Source organism: Homo sapiens, chromosome 21, assembly GCF_000001405.40.
Source record: "Homo sapiens chromosome 21, GRCh38.p14 Primary Assembly".
NCBI lineage: Eukaryota > Metazoa > Chordata > Mammalia > Primates > Hominidae > Homo > Homo sapiens.
Window position 1 is genome coordinate 6,896,062 of NC_000021.9, and position 16,856 is coordinate 6,912,917.

At 42.6% G+C, this 16,856-nt stretch overlaps 1 long non-coding RNA gene and 2 pseudogenes across 1 annotated transcript in view, besides 1 other annotated feature; all 3 read left to right on the plus strand.

Moving 5' to 3' along the window:
• Window positions 1–5,428, plus strand: part of LOC110091777 (uncharacterized) — a 43,040-nt gene extending 37,612 nt beyond the window's left edge. Inside the window, exon 3 of the long non-coding RNA NR_146657.1 lies at window positions 934–5,428. This is a non-coding gene — a long non-coding RNA (uncharacterized LOC110091777). The remainder of the gene's footprint in view (window positions 1–933) is intronic.
• Window positions 1–16,856: part of a sequence alteration artifact (region identified as an assembly artifact by the Genome Reference Consortium. This region falsely duplicates sequence located at GRCh38 chr21:13654079-13799312) that runs on past both edges of the window.
• On the plus strand, window positions 1,106–4,933 carry LOC100289085 (fem-1 homolog A pseudogene; annotated as a pseudogene).
• On the plus strand, window positions 14,971–16,452 carry LOC100289185 (telomeric repeat-binding factor 1-like; annotated as a pseudogene).

The following is a 16,856-nucleotide window of genomic DNA, read 5'->3' on the forward strand; positions in this document are numbered from 1 at the left end:
TGTTTTACTCTGGTCAACAAAGGGTAGAATTATAGAAATGGAGATTGCAGCTGCATATAGATAGAATTGTTAAGACTCATAGCTATTCCAACATCTTTGCCTAGGGGGCCATAGGGAGTGCCAACATCGAGTATCAGAACAAACTAGATGAATGCCAAAATCTCTTATACTCTAAGGTTATATGAGAAAGTGATTTTGATGCCAAAGAGTAAATATTCCACAAATTCCAAACCTCCTTCCAGGCATATATATTCGAGTAGCACCTTCTTTAAGAAGTCTCCCTTAATCTGAGAACACAGTTTGCTTGTGTTTCTAATACTTTGACCATACATTGTCTTTTGTCATCTTTTGACCATATTGTACATTTATGTATTATTTAGCTTTGTGTTGTTATGTCTTATCTAAAACCAAGATTCTTCTTTTAGGAATACATGTTATTTTATCCTCTATGACACCTAGCACAATACAATGAAGTTAGTAGATACTCAGATAATATCTGTAGTCTGAACCTATTTCCTTATCTAAACAGTAAGGAATAAGAACACCCACTTTACCTGCCTCACTGAGCTGTTTTGAAGATCAGATGAAATAATGTGCCTGAAAGCACTTTGAAAAGTATAGAATGTTATACAAATGTAAGGCATTCTAATTTCAGAGGGAGGTTTTTCTCAGTTACAACCTCCATGTCAGCTCGAATAAAGGAACATTTTTTAAAACTTAATCTGAAAAGAAACTTGTCCCTTCTAGGCACAAATTATAAAACTCCCCAAAAAATGTTTGTATATATTTTTGTTTGTTTGTTCCTAAATAGTATAATGAGCTATGGTCTTTCAGGGAAAATGTTGCTCTGATACTAGTTCACAATGTAGAAAATTGCCCTTATGTACTTTCAGGAAAGAATTGCAAACAAATGAGCTATTTTCTTTTCTCAAGTAAAGCGACTTCCCAAGCATGGGTGGCAGCTGTTCAAGTCCATCTGGTCAAGAATTCACTAAGATCATAATGTGAAAGTTGCTCAAGTGCAGATTTGCACGACAGCCTGCAAATGTTCCTTTGGAGACGAAATGGTTTCTCAGGTCAATGATCTGCATATTTAAAAGTCTCTAGGACACCCTAAGATGGCGGCGAGGGAGACGGTGAAGGTTGGCTCCCGCCTGTCTGGGCTCTGATCCTCTGTCTCCCCCTCCCCCTGCGGCCGGCTCATGGCCTGGCGGAGGCCCGAACCAAAGACCTCCGCACCGCCGTGTACAACGCCGCCCGTGACGGCAAGGGGGCAGCTGCTCCAGAAGCTGCTCAGCAGCCGGAGCCGGGAGGAACTGGACGAGCTGACTGGCTAGGTGGCCGGCGGGGGGACGCCGCTGCTCATCGCCGCCTGCTACGGCCACCTGGACGTGGTGGAGTACCTGGTGGACCCGTGCGGCGCGAGCGTGGAGGCCGGTGGCTCGGTGCACTTCGATGGCGAGACCATGGAGGGTGCGCCGCCGCTGTGGGCGCGGACCACCTGGACGTGGTACGGAGCCTGCTGCGCCGCGGGGCCTCGGTGAACTGCACCACGCGCACCAACTCCACGCCCCTCCGCGCCGCCTGCTTCGAGGGCCTCCTGGAGGTGGTGCGCTACCTGGTCGGCGAGCACCAGGCCAACCTGGAGGTGGCCAACCGGCACGGCCACATGTGCCTCATGATCTCGTGCTACAAGGGCCACCGTGAGATCGCCCGCTACCTGCTGGAGCAGGGCGCCCAGGTGAACTGGCGCAGCGCCAAGGGCAACACGGCCCTGCACAACTGTGCCGAGACCAGCAGCCTGGAGATCCTGCAGCTGCTGCTGGGGTGCAAGGCCAGCATGGAACGTGATAGCTACGGCATGACCCCGTTGCTCCCGGCCAGCGTGACGGGCCACACCAACATCGTGGAGTACCTCATCCAGGAGCAGCCCGGCCAGGAGCAGCTCATAGGGGTAGAGGCTCAGCTTAGGCTGCCCCAAGAAGGCTCCTCCACCAGCCAGGGGTGTGCGCAGCCTCAGGGGGCTCCGTGCTGCATCTTCTCCCCTGAGGTACTGAACGGGGAATCTTACCAAAGCTGCTGTCCCACCAGCCGGGAAGCTGCCATGGAAGCCTTGGAATTGCTGGGATCTACCTATGTGGATAAGAAACGAGATCTGCTTGGGGCCCTTAAACACTGGAGGCGGGCCATGGAGCTGCGTCACCAGGGGGGTGAGTACCTGCCCAAACTGGAGCCCCCACAGCTGGTCCTGGCCTATGACTATTCCAGGGAGGTCAACACCACCGAGGAGCTGGAGGCGCTGATCACCGACGCCGATGAGATGCGTATGCAGGCCTTGTTGATCCGGGAGCGCATCCTCAGTCCCTCGCACCCCGACACTTCCTATTGTATCCGTTACAGGGGCGCAGTGTACGCCGACTCGGGGAATATCGAGTGCTACATCCGCTTGTGGAAGTACGCCCTGGACATGCAACAGAGCAACCTGGAGCCTCTGACCCCCATGAGCGCCAGCAGCTTCCTCTCCTTCGCCGAACTCTTCTCCTACGTGCTGCAGGACCCGGCTGCCAAAGGCAGCCTGGGCACCCAGATCGGCTTTGCAGACCTCATGGGGGTCCTCACCAAAGGGGTCCGGGAAGTGGAATGGGCCCTGCAGCTGCTCAGGGAGCCTAGAGACTCGGCCCAGTTCAACAAGGCGCTGGCCATCATCCTCCACCTGCTCTACCTGCTGGAGAAAGTGGAGTGCACCCCCAGCCAGGAGCAACTGAAGCACCAGACCATCTATCGCCTGCTCAAGTGCGCACCCAGGGGCAAGAACGGCTTCACGCCTCTGCACATGGCTGTGGACAAGGACACCACAAACGTGGGCCGCTACCCCGTGGGCAGATTCCCCTCGTTGCACGTGGTCAAAGTGCTGTTCGACTGCGGGGCCGACCGGGACAGCAGGGATTTTGACAACAACACCCCGCTACACATAGCAGCCCAGAACAACTGCCCGGCCATCGTGAATGCCCTGACTGAAGCAGGGGCCCACATGGACGCCACCAACGCCTTCAAGAAGACGGCCTACGAGCTGCTGGAAGAGAAGCTGCTGGCCAGGGGTACCATGCAGCCCTTCAACTACGTGACGCTGCAGTGCCTTGCAGCCCAGGCCCTGGATAAGAACAAGATCCCTTACAAGGGCTTCATCCCGGAAGATCTGGAGGCATTCATCGAACTGCACTGACCTGCCCAGAACATCTGCACCCTCACCTCTCCCCTCTCCTGCTGAGACGGGGGAAATCAGGCTGGGGTATAGCAGATGCTCGTTCTTGCCTCCTTCAGGCACCAATCAGGAGAAGGGTTCTGCCTCCCATCCCCTTTACCTGAAGACAGGGTCTGAGGTGTTAGCGAGCCTTTGGTGCTAGAAGCCTTCAGGGTCACATGCCAAGAGGACAGTCTTTCTCCGGGAAGCCCACTGACTCAGAAATTCTGAGTTAGGAAAAGACACAAGACCTTCCCCACATCCTGTCTGCCTGGGTTACGGAGGCCTTTGCCTTGTTACCTAGAGGTGGAGGGACTGAAGCCATTGCGTTCCTTCCTTGCTAGAAACACAGGAAGAAGTTGAGGACGGTCTGCCTTCCCTTGTCCTTTTACATGGCCAGGTAACTCCAGCTGCTGAATACAGTGTTAGGACTGGGGGCTCCCGAGATGAGAGTTTGAAAGTCAGGGAATGAAACCACCTCTCATTTCTTCCAGCATGATCACGACCTGCTCCTGTGCCACCATAGTCCCTGGCAGACAGGCAGGGCTCTGCTCAGGGCAGCCTGCCACTTGCATAGCTTTTGGTTAGTTTGGTGTTCTGTTTATTTAATAAGTGGGCAGGTTGCAAGCATTGCACAGGAATTCTGAGATTTTACTGCCTTTTTTTTTTTTTTAAAGAAAGTTGTTTGTTGGACTCCGTAAGTGAATTTCAAGCAGTGAGGATTCTGTAGTGCCTGAGATGGCTGAGGCCACAGGGAGTGAGCTGTATGTGTGAGGAAGTTGGTGAGCGAGATAAAAGTCCATGGTTTCGACCCCTAAAACATGTGTGACTGTACATTTTTATACATCTCCACTCTACGGCCTTTTACAGGCTTTCCAATTTTACAGGCCTTTCCAATTTTCCATTCTCATTAGAAAGAGAACTGTGCTTCCAAACAGAAATCAGGAGTGACCACAAAGCCTGACAACACTTTGCCACCCAGCAAGAACTGGCACAATTGGTTTGGGTCTGCATTGCCATAGTGTCCGAGTTAAAACTACAGGCCACTCCACCTTGCAAACCTCACGTGGCCTCTGATTTCATTGTGGGTGCATCCACAGGTGGCGCTAGCTCTTTTTTCAGCTGCTCCGAGGATTGGGACCTAAGTCATCATGAAAAAGGCCCAGGTACAGTCTTAATGTGATAAATCCACTAGCTAAGACGTTGAGTGCCAAGACTAGCCTTCCAGCCAAGGTTTGGACAAAGTCTCAAGTTCCCATGACTCAGGGTAAGGTGCTGGGGCTGCCAGAGGACCTGCCCCAGCAAGATTTTTCTCAAGAGTGAGACTCCATCAGCCCGGGCAGACGTGAGCAGGTTCTTGGCTGGTGTAGACAGCAGCAAACAGCAGAAGGGAAGCCATTCTCACTACATCCTCCCTGCAGTAGCCACAGCCAGGCCCTTAGGAGGAGCAGCAACCGGGGGTGTCCAGAAACATCCCGTCCCTGGATGGAAACTAGGTCTCGTTTGGATTTTTTTTTCTTTTTTTTGCCATGTTATGAAATTATTTATTAATTTACAAGACAGGTTTTATCTCAGCCAAGGAGGGAAATGGCGTCCCTGTCCCTCCCAAAGCACAGAGCAGAGAAATGAGGCTGTTTACATCGCGAGTCTCCGTGCTGGTGTTTAAGTCATTAAAAAGATATTCAAAAAAAAAGTCTCTAAATACAGGTTTATGGAATAATTCATAACAGCTTTAAGGAACTATCATGGTATACTGGGAAAGTCACTCATATTGCAGGATAGATTTCTTCTGTTGGCTGGTGAGCATTTGTTTATAGTCGGCCTTGAATCTACCACAATTTTAGAAGTAGTTCTTTTATTTCTTTAAAAGCAACATTTTGGGACAAAATATTGTGAACAAATAAGGAATACGACTATATTTGTGAAACCCCTTGTTAATTTCCAAGTGATATTTTAAATCTTGAATAAGACATGTATGCTCATAAATAAAGAGGAAAAAGAAATAATTAAATCAATGTTCATAAGAGCTTCTCAGAAAATAAGAAAGAGATAAGTGATAGAACTATAATCTACAATCTACCCTAACAGTATATTTGCATCACTTCTTAAACTTTGTTTAGTATTTTAACACGCTGTTTCTTATTATATGGGAAGAATGCTGTGAGGTAGCATGTTAATGTTTTGCAGATTAATAAACTGATGTTAAAAGAGATTAAGTGACTGATTTTGTACTTTCATTATCTCAAAAGTGCAACTAAAACTGCACTTAGGATTGCCACTCCTGTCGGGGGCCATGGCTTTGGTCCTATTTTCTGCAAGTCTCTGGATGACGTCTGTCCACCCACTGTCTCTGAGTGCTCTCCTCACCTCGGCCTTCCTCCCTTATTTTAGTCCAACACCTGTCACCACTCTTCAGAATCCTCATGAAACTTCAGGAAGATCGACTGGGTAGGGCTTGTTTCAGAATTATCATCCAGCATTCTAGGGCTGATTTAGAATTCAGAGAAAGAAGCAAAAGCACTTATCAAAGTGTCTGTTCTAGAGGTAAGCTCAGAGGCACCATGGCAATTCCCACATTTCCCCAGGATGTCTTCAGAAATACCTGATACTGTCATCTCAGGCCCAGATATCATCCACCAGCTGAAGGCCGTGGGCAACATTCACATCTCAGAGTAAAGAGTGTTTTAGAAGTCCATGGGCAATCACCAGTCATGCAAGGAGTTCCAGGGGCCAGCCAGTTGTTCCTTTCATGAGTTAGGAGGCAGTAAGGACATCACGGTGATCATTTCCACTGAAAACACAAATTTAAGTCCACTCTGCTACTCAGCAGTTAATGCTGACTTCTGAAAATTATGAAGCATTTATCACTATGGTCTCCTTCTAGGTTTATCAGTGCAGTCAGCTCAGAAAACTTTCATTCCTTTGGTATATCCAGCTCCAGCTAATCAGGTAGGGAACAATGAAAACAGGCTGACATTTGATTCAGAGGTTCTGGAAAGAAAGTGGACCTGGCAACAAAGTGACTGCACTTACAACCCCCCAACCTAATGTCATCAGGATCCAGGGTAGACCACCTGGGGCTACTGGGGAGAGAAGACAGTTTCAGAGGCTGTCTATTATAAGCAGCTCTGATTAACATCTTAGGACCACAAGACAAATTATCATTGGTATTTGAAGGCAAAAGTTCATGGATGATCTGGGCCTGGGTGAGTACCTGGGTCTAACTCACAAGTCTCAGAAAGGCCCTCTGGGTCCATTCCCGATATATTAACAAAATGCCTGAAACACAGTGGGGTTTGAGCAAATGATAGAATGAATGTTTATGGAAGGACGGTTGTCTGACCTCTTCTACTATACACTTTTGAGAAAGGTTCTCAGAATGTATGGTTAAAGTATTGTATAGGTTGAGCATTCCTAATCCAAAAATCTGAAATTCACATTTTTTGAATGCTGACACAATGTTCAAAGGTCATACTCAAAAGGAAATGCTCATTAAAGCTTTGTAGATTTCTGATTTTTGAATTTGGGGTGTCAACCAGTAAGTTTAATGCAAATGTTGAAAAATTTTTTAAAAATCCAAAACGCATCTTGTCCCGAGAATTTTGGATAAGGAATACTCAAACTGCATTTCAATTGTTTGTTTGTTTGCTCTGTCTTCAAAAATGAGCCAGGTGCAGTGGCTCATGCCTGTACTCCCAGCACTTTGGGAGGCTGAGGTGGGCGGATCACTCGAGGAGTTGGAGACCCGCCTGGCCAATATGGCAAAACCCTGTCTCTACTAAAAGTTAAAAAAAACACTTAGTCTGGCATGGTGGCAGGCTAATTTTGTAATCCCAGCTACTCAGGAGGCTGAGGCAGGAGAATCGCTTGAGCCCAGGAGACAGAGGTTGCCGTGAGCCAAGATTATGTCACTACACTCCAGCCTGGGTGAGAGAGTGAAACTCTGTCTCAAAAAAAAAAAAAAAGAATGAGTTTCTTCAAGAGAGAAATTGTACCTTGTTCATGTCCATCACTCCCATGCATAATATGGTTCCATAAGAACTCAGTCCTTATGAAACTCCACTCAGTAAGGACTCAGTTTTTTCAGAATGAGCAGACCAAGTAAGAGCAATTACTTATTGTCATGTAGCTCAGATGAGAAAGGGCTGGGATTTGAGAAAATGCTCTATTACTGAATAGGATCTGGATGGCTGGATTCCATCACAGATGTAAAGCAAGACTACAGTAGTGTGTCCAACAAGATCGAGTGATAGCAGGTTGTAGTGCAGGTAAGTAGATATCCACGAAGGGTTGCAAATGAAGTTTTGACCTGTCCAAACAGATGGATGCAGTACAAGACAATTTATCCTTACAAGAAAGATAGCAAATTGGAATTAGGAATATTTGTCATTTCAGAGGGTCCAAGACAATGGTCCAGGATCCAGGACTGGGGAATCCCTTCCTGAGGACGATGACAGGTAAAAAAAAGGATCAAGCTGAAGCTCAAAAATCAGACTTGGGTGCCGGGAGAGGAGACTAAGGAACAGACTGAGATCCACTTACCAGAGCCAGGGTATTGTCTCTGCATAAGCTCAGAGACAAAGAAAAATGATGAAACCACAGCTGGCAGACACGTAGTCATGTAAATCTCCTTAGCATCATTGCAGGATTCGTGCTGAAAGTCGAGGCAATGGTGAAGCTGCAGGAGGGCTGTAGGTGGTCATAGCTCAGGAAGGAAGGGTCTTTCAGAGACTAGAAACTAGGTCTGAGCTAAAACATTTGCAATCTTGGATTTCTTTGGGGATGTTCATTCTACTAACAAACCAACACCAATTTAATTTCCTGATGTTTATTTTGGGAGGTTTACAAGAATTAATTTCCTTGGAACTGATTTTTTTAAACATCCATTATAGAAAATTCTTTTTCTCACTTGTGAACACCTCTGAAAAAGAAGTATTATTTATAAAAGTTGGTACCTGTTGAACTATTAGAGTTGTGGGGAAAAGCCTTTACAGGGTTCACAAGAAAAAGCCTTCTCCAACTATGACTTACAGATGTACTCTTAAAATAATGACTTGACATATTTATATGTATATCATTAGTTTAATATCTTACCTAATTGTCCAACAAACTAATTCAATGTTGTTTGCAATGCATTAAATGAACAAAAGATAAACTTGGTAATAGAGAATCCAGAAAGCCTAGTGGCCCATGAAATCACTGGATTTGCAAAGTTATTTTCTCTTCAGCGCTGTGCACTATCTCAGAACAAAATCTGTTGGCAAAGCACTTTATTGGCAACCAATGCGTTAGAATATAGAGACATTAGGAACGCCACATGGGGTCCAACCAATGCTCCATCCAGGCCAGCCTAGTGCAAAAGCAACATGAGTGGATTTTGGAGAGCGAGGTTGCCTGATGTGGTATCAGTTTGTAGTGTTGGAATTATTTAAAATATCTTCCCAAAATCATTTTGTGAACTAACATGGAACTCTATCATTTCAGACAAATCCCTTGATTTTTTCCCACAGCTCTCCCTCTTTGTGTTAGAGTTCCATACATGTAATGCCCAATATGTGAAGAGAAAATTAACATTCCCCTTTTTCTACTTGCAGACTTCCAAACATTTACTGAAACCTTAAACTCTTACTGATTCTTTAAACTGTCCCCATTCCAGTTTTCTCTACAGCAAGTAGCTCTCAATGTGTAGTCCTCAGATGGGCAGCATCCACTGGAAAACTGCTAGGAATGCACATTCTCAGGCCTCACCCAAGATCTGCTGAATCAGAAGCTCTGGGGTGGAACCCAACAACCTGCATTTTAACAAGCCTTCCAGATGACTCTGAAGCATGCTCCATACTGACAACTAATGCAATGCATTATGGTAAATTTGCCCACCCACCCTCTGGCAAAAATAACATCTAATTGCATTTCCTTTTTAGTTTGATGAGTACTTATCTCGGTATCTTTTAATTCACCTGATGTTTCTGTTGGTAACAAAACCAACAAAAACGTTGTAAATTTGGTACACTGAAATGCAAAATAAGAGTGAAGGAGAGGACACTGGTAGTGAAATCAACAACTATAAAGCAGTTTGGGGAAATTCAGTTTAGGGACAGGCATTATATCTCAAAAATCCAGTGAGCATCACATTATAAAAGCACGGCTCCAAAGGTGACGATTTCATGTGAGGACCCTTCAGTCACAAACAGAGGATTAGCTCACGTTCATTATTTCCAAATTTCCCTCACCAAAGCACACATTATTAAGGCATTTTTGAGACATTTTTATCAAAATGAAAATGTGTTTGACAATGGAGCAAACTGAGATATATGAAATATTTACTTGTTTGAATATCTGAAGATACTAGAAATGTGTCCTTAATTTACTCTGTCTTATATGAAATGTAAACCAATGCTATCCATTAACTTCTAAACATGTTCCAACTGATGCATGTTGCAACTGTTCCAGCCCTGTTGCATAGGACAAGACTCAGTTTTTTCAGAATGAGCAGACGAAGTAAGACCAATTACTTATTGTCATTGAAGTTTGTGGTTTTTGTTCAAATTTTATAAGGGTACAATATAATGTGTTTAATCATCATGGTGGCCACTTTTTATACATAGCTTTTTAAAAACTTAAATGCAAACTTCACAACCTTTGCCTCATACTGAATGAGGCCTCATAACAAGCCCTCCAGATGAGTCAGTACCAGTAGAAGTCTGATTTCACATTCCATGAGTGTTTGCTGAAGGAGAATACATGTGCCTGTGTTCTGCTGGGCATTTCTGAAGGATATTGACAAGCACAGCATATAAATCCTAGGCTAGCTGTGTCACAGATTGGCACAATGGCAGAAAGAATATCTCTGTGAATTTACATCCCGGCAGAGGCAAATCAATCAGTCAACTATGGAGTTGATTGATTTCCATTGTTAAATTCAATTGGAAAAAAAAGTTGAAATTTTCTCATATTCTTTGTCATCTAATATCTGTGTTTTTCTCTGTTCAGTTACTCTTCTCTGGATTTCAAATAGAATTTCTAATAATAAACGTGTACCAATTCTATCATCAAGCTGTTTATGTTCTTTACATTTCTGTTCTTGATAATTATATGCTAGTCTTTGAATATGAAGATAATGCTTCTGACCCAATATTCATAATGCATGTGCCTCGAGTTGTTATTTTTTGCAAGAGAAATAAGTTTATTTTGATCTGATACATTTTCTTTCCCAGTCTTCATGTGACCAGCAGCACCAACTGCAAGACTGTCTGTCACCTGAGTGTGACTTGCAACCAAGCACATGTGGGAATTCAGTGAAGGCCCCTGCCTTGACCTCATTATCAACAGGAACCAGCCAAAGACAGTGGTCACTCTTTATCCATGTAAATAGACACCGTAATTTATTTTCAAAAAAATCCAAAGGAAAAAATTTAAGGCCATTATAATACCAGAAATCTGCACTGTGAGTACTTGGAAGATGACAGTTGATAAAGCTGGGAGGTTTACAATGACTAGATTGTCAGAAGGGGTTAAATGTATGTTCTAATAATAAGAGAACAAGAAAAAAGAATGCCCTGGTGATGTGTAAATTTAAAATACAGTGGTACATTTTAGGAAAACCAAAAATCAATCCATGAACTTTGAAATGAAGGGAGATAGTTCTGAGAGAACTAGAGGAACTGGACTTGAGATCCAAGATTACAATTTACTCAATTTTTTATAGATACTTTAAGTATGGAAAATTTAATTTTATTCTTATAGATAGTAAGGTATAATACAGAATATAAAGTCCATTAAATTAAGGTGATTATAGATCCTGGTTTTCTTGACACTCCTATATCATGCTGATGGTTCCTGTGTGAATATTAACATTACCCCCTTCAATTCACAAGTGTCTTGCACTGTGTGTGTGTGTGTGCGCGCACACGTGCGTGTGTAGCTTTTGGTTTTATTCTTGTTTGTTTGTTTTGCAAAAATGAAATAATAGCAAACATGTGATCCTGAAACTTTCTTCACTGAATACGTATCTTAGAATCTTTATTTTTCTTATTATTCAAAATAATTCATTTTTTAACCTACTACTTACTCATCATTGAATATAGTTATTTAATCCTCTTTTAAAACCATTTGAATTGTTTTAAATTTTGTCCTACTGCAAATAATTTCATCATATTCTTTTAACCTATAACTGCACATATGTTTTAGTATTTCTGTAGGTTAAATTTTTGGAAATGGTATCAGATCAAAAAAGTTAACATTAAAGTCATAATCAATATTCCCAAATGTAGACACATTTTTGAATCTTCAATTTAATCACTTTCATAAAATTTCAACTTTCCTTAATAATACTTCCAATTTAAACTAAGGAGCTTTAATTGTTTAGGACCACAAAGATTTCTATCAGAGGGAGGACAAAACGTGAAATATTTTGTTTTGTAACTTATTTGTTGCAAAAAAACATCACTGCTGTTTGGAAATTGAGAAACTGTCCAAACAAGTACACTATGGACAACAAATGTCGTGAACTGCCTGTCCACACTGAGGTTTGAGAGCCACAGGAGACTTGAGACTTCTTCTAAGACAGTTTAAAGAAGTCTCATTTATTTGTCTTTTTATACAATGTAGCAAATCAATATATTAAATAATATAAGAACACTAAGCTTTCTTACATATAAAACTAGAGTAACCTATCAAACAAAGCTGTTCCACGTAACTGAGAACTCATTAACCCTGAGGTACTAGGAATATATGAAGTCAGTGCAATAGCAGGCGATAGCCTGTCACGTGCAACTAGGGCTGCTGGTGGGGAAAAGTACAACATCCCAGATTCGTCAGTGATGTGGCTGGATTGTTGGGTGTGAGAAATGCACCAGCCCTGACTCAGAGATGCCCTCTCTTGCTCATCTTCCTGTCATTCTGGTGCTGAACACCTGTGCCCACCCATAGTGACCTGTGACCGAGGGCATGGGCACCAACACCTTCCCTATCTCCCTGTCTTTTTTCTTTCCCTCTTTTCCCTTTATTCATTCCACTATCCTTCTTCCTCCCCCTCACAACCCCAACTCTTTTCATATCATCAACAAATGGCAAGTACAGGCCCTGAGGAAGACACAGATGACTAAGATGGAGCTTCTGCCCTTGAAAAGCCCCTGATCTAGTCTGGGAGACTGACATATAATCAGAGGATCAGATAGCCTGATGAATACCATGATCATGTGCCTGACACCTTAGAGTAAAGAAAATGTGGCATCTCATGTTGCTAGGAGGAATCAGGACAGCTTTGCAGAGCACCAGGTGTTTGTGATGCATCTGCAAGTTCATTGTCTTTGAGTGTAGGAAACCACCATTGGAGCATATAGGCTGGACCTAGGAACCCTGGGCTCTGCACCAAACACAGGCTCCTGAATGGAAGATAGGTGACATTGTCACTGTCCTCAGTCCCTGCCCTGGCTTGCCTAGAATGCAATAAATTAAGTTGTTATAGGTGGTGTGTACTTGTACCTAAAGATGTCACTGCTAGCTGAGAGGAAATAAGCCCCTGAAGATTGTTAGGGCAGTGAAATTATTCTTTAAGATACTGTTATGGGAAATATATGACATAATGCATTTAGCAAAGCCCATAGAACCGTACAACACAGGGACTAAATCCTAATATAAACTGTGGATGTTAGTTAATCATAATGCATGAATATTGGTTCATCAGTTGTAACAAATGTGCCACACCAACACAAAATGTTAACAATAGGAAAAACCAGAGGCTGGTGGGGGAAGAGAGTATACAGGAACCCCATATATTTTGCTCACATTTTCTGAAAACCTAAAACTGGTCTAAAAATCAAAGTCTATTAATTTTTTTAAACACCTTGAAACAGTATGTCTATCTTCTATTAGTTCCCTGCCTTTGTGAAAATAAGAGCAGACTTTTGGTTTTTCTTCTTTAGGACAAGAATTATATTTTTATAATAACTCCTCCATTTCTTTTGATATATCTAATTATTTCTTTAATAACTGGATCAAACACTTTAATATTAATGAAGGTAGAGCCAATAGGATATCCTGGTAGATTGGAAGAGACAGTGAGAGAAACAGAGGCATAAAGGATGATGCTGAAGTTTTTGGCTTGAGCAAGAAGAAGCAGGGCTGGTACTAGGGTGAGCCAAGTGAGATGCTGAGGGCATACAATTTAAGGAGGCCCTTGCATAGCCATGCAAAAGCAAGGTCAGCACTTCCTTGATGCTCTGAATGCCTTAAAGTTTGTGCCTAAGTGGTTGGCTTACTTCACTCTTGTCCTAGTCCTGACTGGATCAATGATATCACCATCCACTGAGTTGGGGCAGGCTGAGCAGAAGCAAATTTGGGGAGGCTGGATTGAATATAGAAGCTTGGTTCTGGACATGTTGACTTTGAGATGGCCATTGAACATTCAAGTGGAGACATCAGGTAGTCAGCTGGATCTCTGAGTCTATATCTCAGGAAAGAGGCTGAGACTAAAGTTATGTATTTAGAAGTTATCACAAGACTAGATGAACTCATGAAGAAAGTGAGTGTGAATGGATAGTTAGATGGATAAGGGAAGAGTTTCAAGGCCTGAGCCATGAAATACTTCTATTTGTCAGAAAGAAAAAGAGGAGCCAGCAAGGAACCTTGAAAAAGAGCAGGCAATAAGAGAAGGAACACTGGCAGTGTACATTCCTGGAAGACAAGACAATGCTTCAAGGAGTAGAGAGTAATAAGTTGTGTTTCATGCTGCTAGAGTTGAGTTAGACAAAGCTTGAAACTAGAACTTTGGTGTTAGTAGCATTGAGGTCATCGACGATGTTGACTAAAACAGTTTTGGTGGAGAGATGACAACAGAAGCCTGAACAGAGTGCACTGAAGAGAGAAGAAGAGAGGAGAGAAATTTGATTCTGCATATACATAAAACTCTTTCAAGGTCTTTTAGAAAGAGGAAGGAAGATAGAAAGAGAGAGACAGACAGACAGAGTGAGAGAGATGAGAGAGAAGCCAGAGGGGGAAGAGAGGTCCAGAATTTAATACTTTCCCAGTTTTTCCAACTTGCATCTCAACCCCTTATCTCTGGGTTTTAGCAGTGGATACTTTGAGATTCTAATATTTATCTCCTCAGAACGTGAGATGCAGAAGAGGAGATAGGAAATTGAGATAATAACTACTTTCTTCTGATGGGTGGGAAAAATTCTATATGAGAGTTTTTCTACCAAGACACATGTGAAAGGAAGTGGCAACATGTGGCAATTCATCTAAGATCAACAACTTTTTTTCTCTGTTTGAATTTGTTGATTTGGAAGTTATTTGTCTGGCTCTGCAACAGAATCATTATTTGCTCTACCAATTTTTCTAAAGTCTCACATGCTGATGCCAGTTAAAAAAGAATACATTTTAGTCTGTCAACTTTTGCTTACAAAAGAGGATCTAAAAGTGTGTTCCAAGGTAATTTGAACAGACTCTTTCAAGATAGTGCATATTTTAGTAGATCCACAGAACAGTAAATATAACTTGATAATCACCCCCAACATTTCTTGCATTGGAAAATTGAATTGGCAGGTTTGCATAATAAAGGGCTAAAATTATGAACCACACAAGATTTGCCTGAAACTTGATTGTTCAGGCTCAAAATTCTCTACTGAATACTCTTGTGCTTGCTTTTGTATTTATCCATTTTCATGAAACTGCTTAGGGCAGACATTTCTTTTTTAAATCTTTTTTCATAAAAATAAATTGTAATAAATATGCCGGCGGATGGTAGAGATGCCGACCCTACCGAGGAGCAGATGGCAGAAACAGAGAGAAACGACGAGGAGCAGTTCGAATGCCAGGAACGGCTCAAGTGCCAGGTGCAGGTGGGGGCCCCCGAGGAGGAGGAGGAGGACGCGGGCCTGGTGGCCAAGGCCGAGGCCGTGGCTGCAGGCTGGATGCTCGATTTCCTCCGCTTCTCTCTTTGCCGAGCTTTCCGCGACGGCCGCTCGGAGGACTTCTGCAGGATCCGCAACAGGGCAGAGGCTATTATTCATGGACTATCCAGTCTAACAGCTTACCAGTTGAGAACGATATACATATGTCAGTTTTTGACAAGAATTGCAGCAGGAAAAACCCTTGATGCACAGTTTGAAAATGATGAATGAATTACACCCTTGGAATCAGCCCTGATGATTTGGGGTTCAACTGAAAAGGAACATGACAAACTTCAAGAAGAAATACAGAATTTAATTAAAATTCAGGCTATAGCCGTTTGTATGGAAAATGGCAACTTTAAAGAAGCAGAAGTCTTTGAAAGAATATTTGGTGATCCAAATTCTTATATGCCTCTCAAAAGCAAATTGCTTATGATAATCTCTCAGAAAGATACATTTCATTCCTTTTTTCAACACTTCAGCTACAATCACATGATGGAGAAAATTAAGAGTTATGTGAATTATGTGCTAAGTGAAAAATCATCAACCTTTCTAATGAAGGCAGCAGCAAAAGTAGTAGAAAGTAAAAGAACAAGAACAATAACTTCTCAAGATAAAGCTAATGAAAATTATGTTGAAACGGAAACTGAAGCTAATTTGGATACAAGAAAAAGGTCTCACAAGAATCTTTTCTTATCTAAGTTACAACATGGGACCCAGCAACAAGACCTTAATAAGAAAGAAAGAAGAGTAGGAACTCTTCAAAGTACAAAAAAGAAAAAAGAAAGCAGAAGAGCCACTGAAAGCAGAATACCTGTTTCAAAGAGTCAACCGGTAACTCCTGAAAAACATCGAGCTAGAAAAAGACAGGCATGGCTTCAGGAAGAAGACAAGAATTTGAGATCTGGCATGAGGAAATATGGAGAGGGAATTATAAATTCAACAACCGGACAAGTGTCATGTTAAAAGACAGATGGAGGACCATGAAGAAACTAAAACTGATTTGCTCAGACAGCGAAGACTGATTGTGTTTGTAAAAGCTTGATGAAAGGACAGTTAAGTATTTTGATCACTGCATTTTGTTTGAAACTTGTGTCATTGATGTATTTTAAAACTTTTGTTTAAGCATTACAGTATTTTTCTGTGACCATCAATTAATATGAGGGTTTGTGCTATAAGAGTTAGAGCATATGCTATCATTGTATTCTTTAAGAACTTTATTTTGATAAAATGTAAATTTGTTGAACCCTGCCACATTTAGTATCCCCACCCCCAAAACCTGTTCCAATGAAAAAATTAAAACCTGTTACGAAAAAAAAATTCAGTTAACCTATTTTGTGTCTGTAGGCTGACCTCAACACTGTAACATAACCCATTAAAATGAATTTTTTTTTTAAGACAGAGTTTCTCTCTGTCACCCAAGCTGGAATGCAATGGCACAATTTCAGCTCACTGCAACCTCTGCCTCCCGGGTTCAAGCAATTCTCCTGCCTCAGCCTCCTGAGTAGCTGGGATTATAGGCACACACCACCATGTCCAGCTAATTTTTGTATTTTTAGTAGAGGCGGGGTTTCACCATGCTGGTCAGGATGGTCTCGAACTCCTGACTTCATGATCCACCCACCTCGGCCTCCCAAAGTGCTGAGATTACAGAAGTGAGCCACTGTGTCCTGCCTAAAATGAATTTTCTAGACGACTGAATAACAGTAGTCCTTTGATAGGAG